Raw genomic sequence first — 1,048 nt, forward strand, 5'->3', positions numbered from 1 at the left:
CACATTTGTGGAAATGAGACAAAGTTTCTAAGTCCTGAGCTGCACCCTTAATTCTTCACACACATGTTGATTTTTAAAGTTAAACCTACAACTTCCTCCTTGCATAGGGCCAAACAAGCATGGTATTAAGAGAGGAAGACGAATAGTGTTCTAAACATTTCCCAGGACTTCAGTTCCATAAGGTATCATCTGGTCGAATTCTTATGTAGAAGTTGTCTGGTTCCTCAGTTTCACCCATTCTATGGCCAGCCCAGACTTCCCCAGGTAGGATTTATGCCCCTTCTTCCAGAAAGCAGGACTTCTCCTGTCCTAAATCCTTCATTCTCTCCATCTAGCAGTCAAATAAATCCCAGGAAATACACGGAGTGTTCCTTGTCCTGAAGTATAATACCCATCCTTGTAATATACTACATGGCCTTATCTTTATCCTTACATTTAGGAATTTCTAATATTTCTCCCTCTTTTGTTGCTTCAGGTGCCAAATAAAACAAAATGCTTCATCAAACCAATGACATACATCATGTGTCAAGTATCTGCCTCAAAGCAACTTGTTGCATACTCTTTACTTCTATATACACGCTCGCAGTTTCTTAATATTTACTAGAAATCAGAATGCAATTCTTTAATTTTTATGTTCCCCTTTGTACATCATGTGTCACCTTTAATTCTTTGTTCATCTTAGTTACCATGAAGTTTTTCATTTACTTACTTGCTTCGTAGTTACTTTGAAGAGTAAAACGTAGATGAGATGCAGTATACTGTTAAGGTTTTCTAATACCACGGGGAGCGTTTCATTTGTTTTTAAAGTTTAGGCCATTGCAAGAAATTTGCTCCTTAAAATTCTACTGACACTTATTCTTAATTTTTTTAAGAGACAGCTGTAACATTGTTTACAAACGTATAAATACCATCCCAGCGAGAAACTAGCTTTGTGCTTCTGTCATAAAAGAGACACAGGTTTCTAACAGGAAATGGAAAAGGGAGAACTACTGAGTCAAGTGCAAACTCCCAGCCAGGCAGAGAGCAGCTGACTCTGTAGAACCGTCCC

The sequence above is a fragment of the Homo sapiens genome, chromosome 21 (genome assembly GCF_000001405.40).
Source record: "Homo sapiens chromosome 21, GRCh38.p14 Primary Assembly".
NCBI lineage: Eukaryota > Metazoa > Chordata > Mammalia > Primates > Hominidae > Homo > Homo sapiens.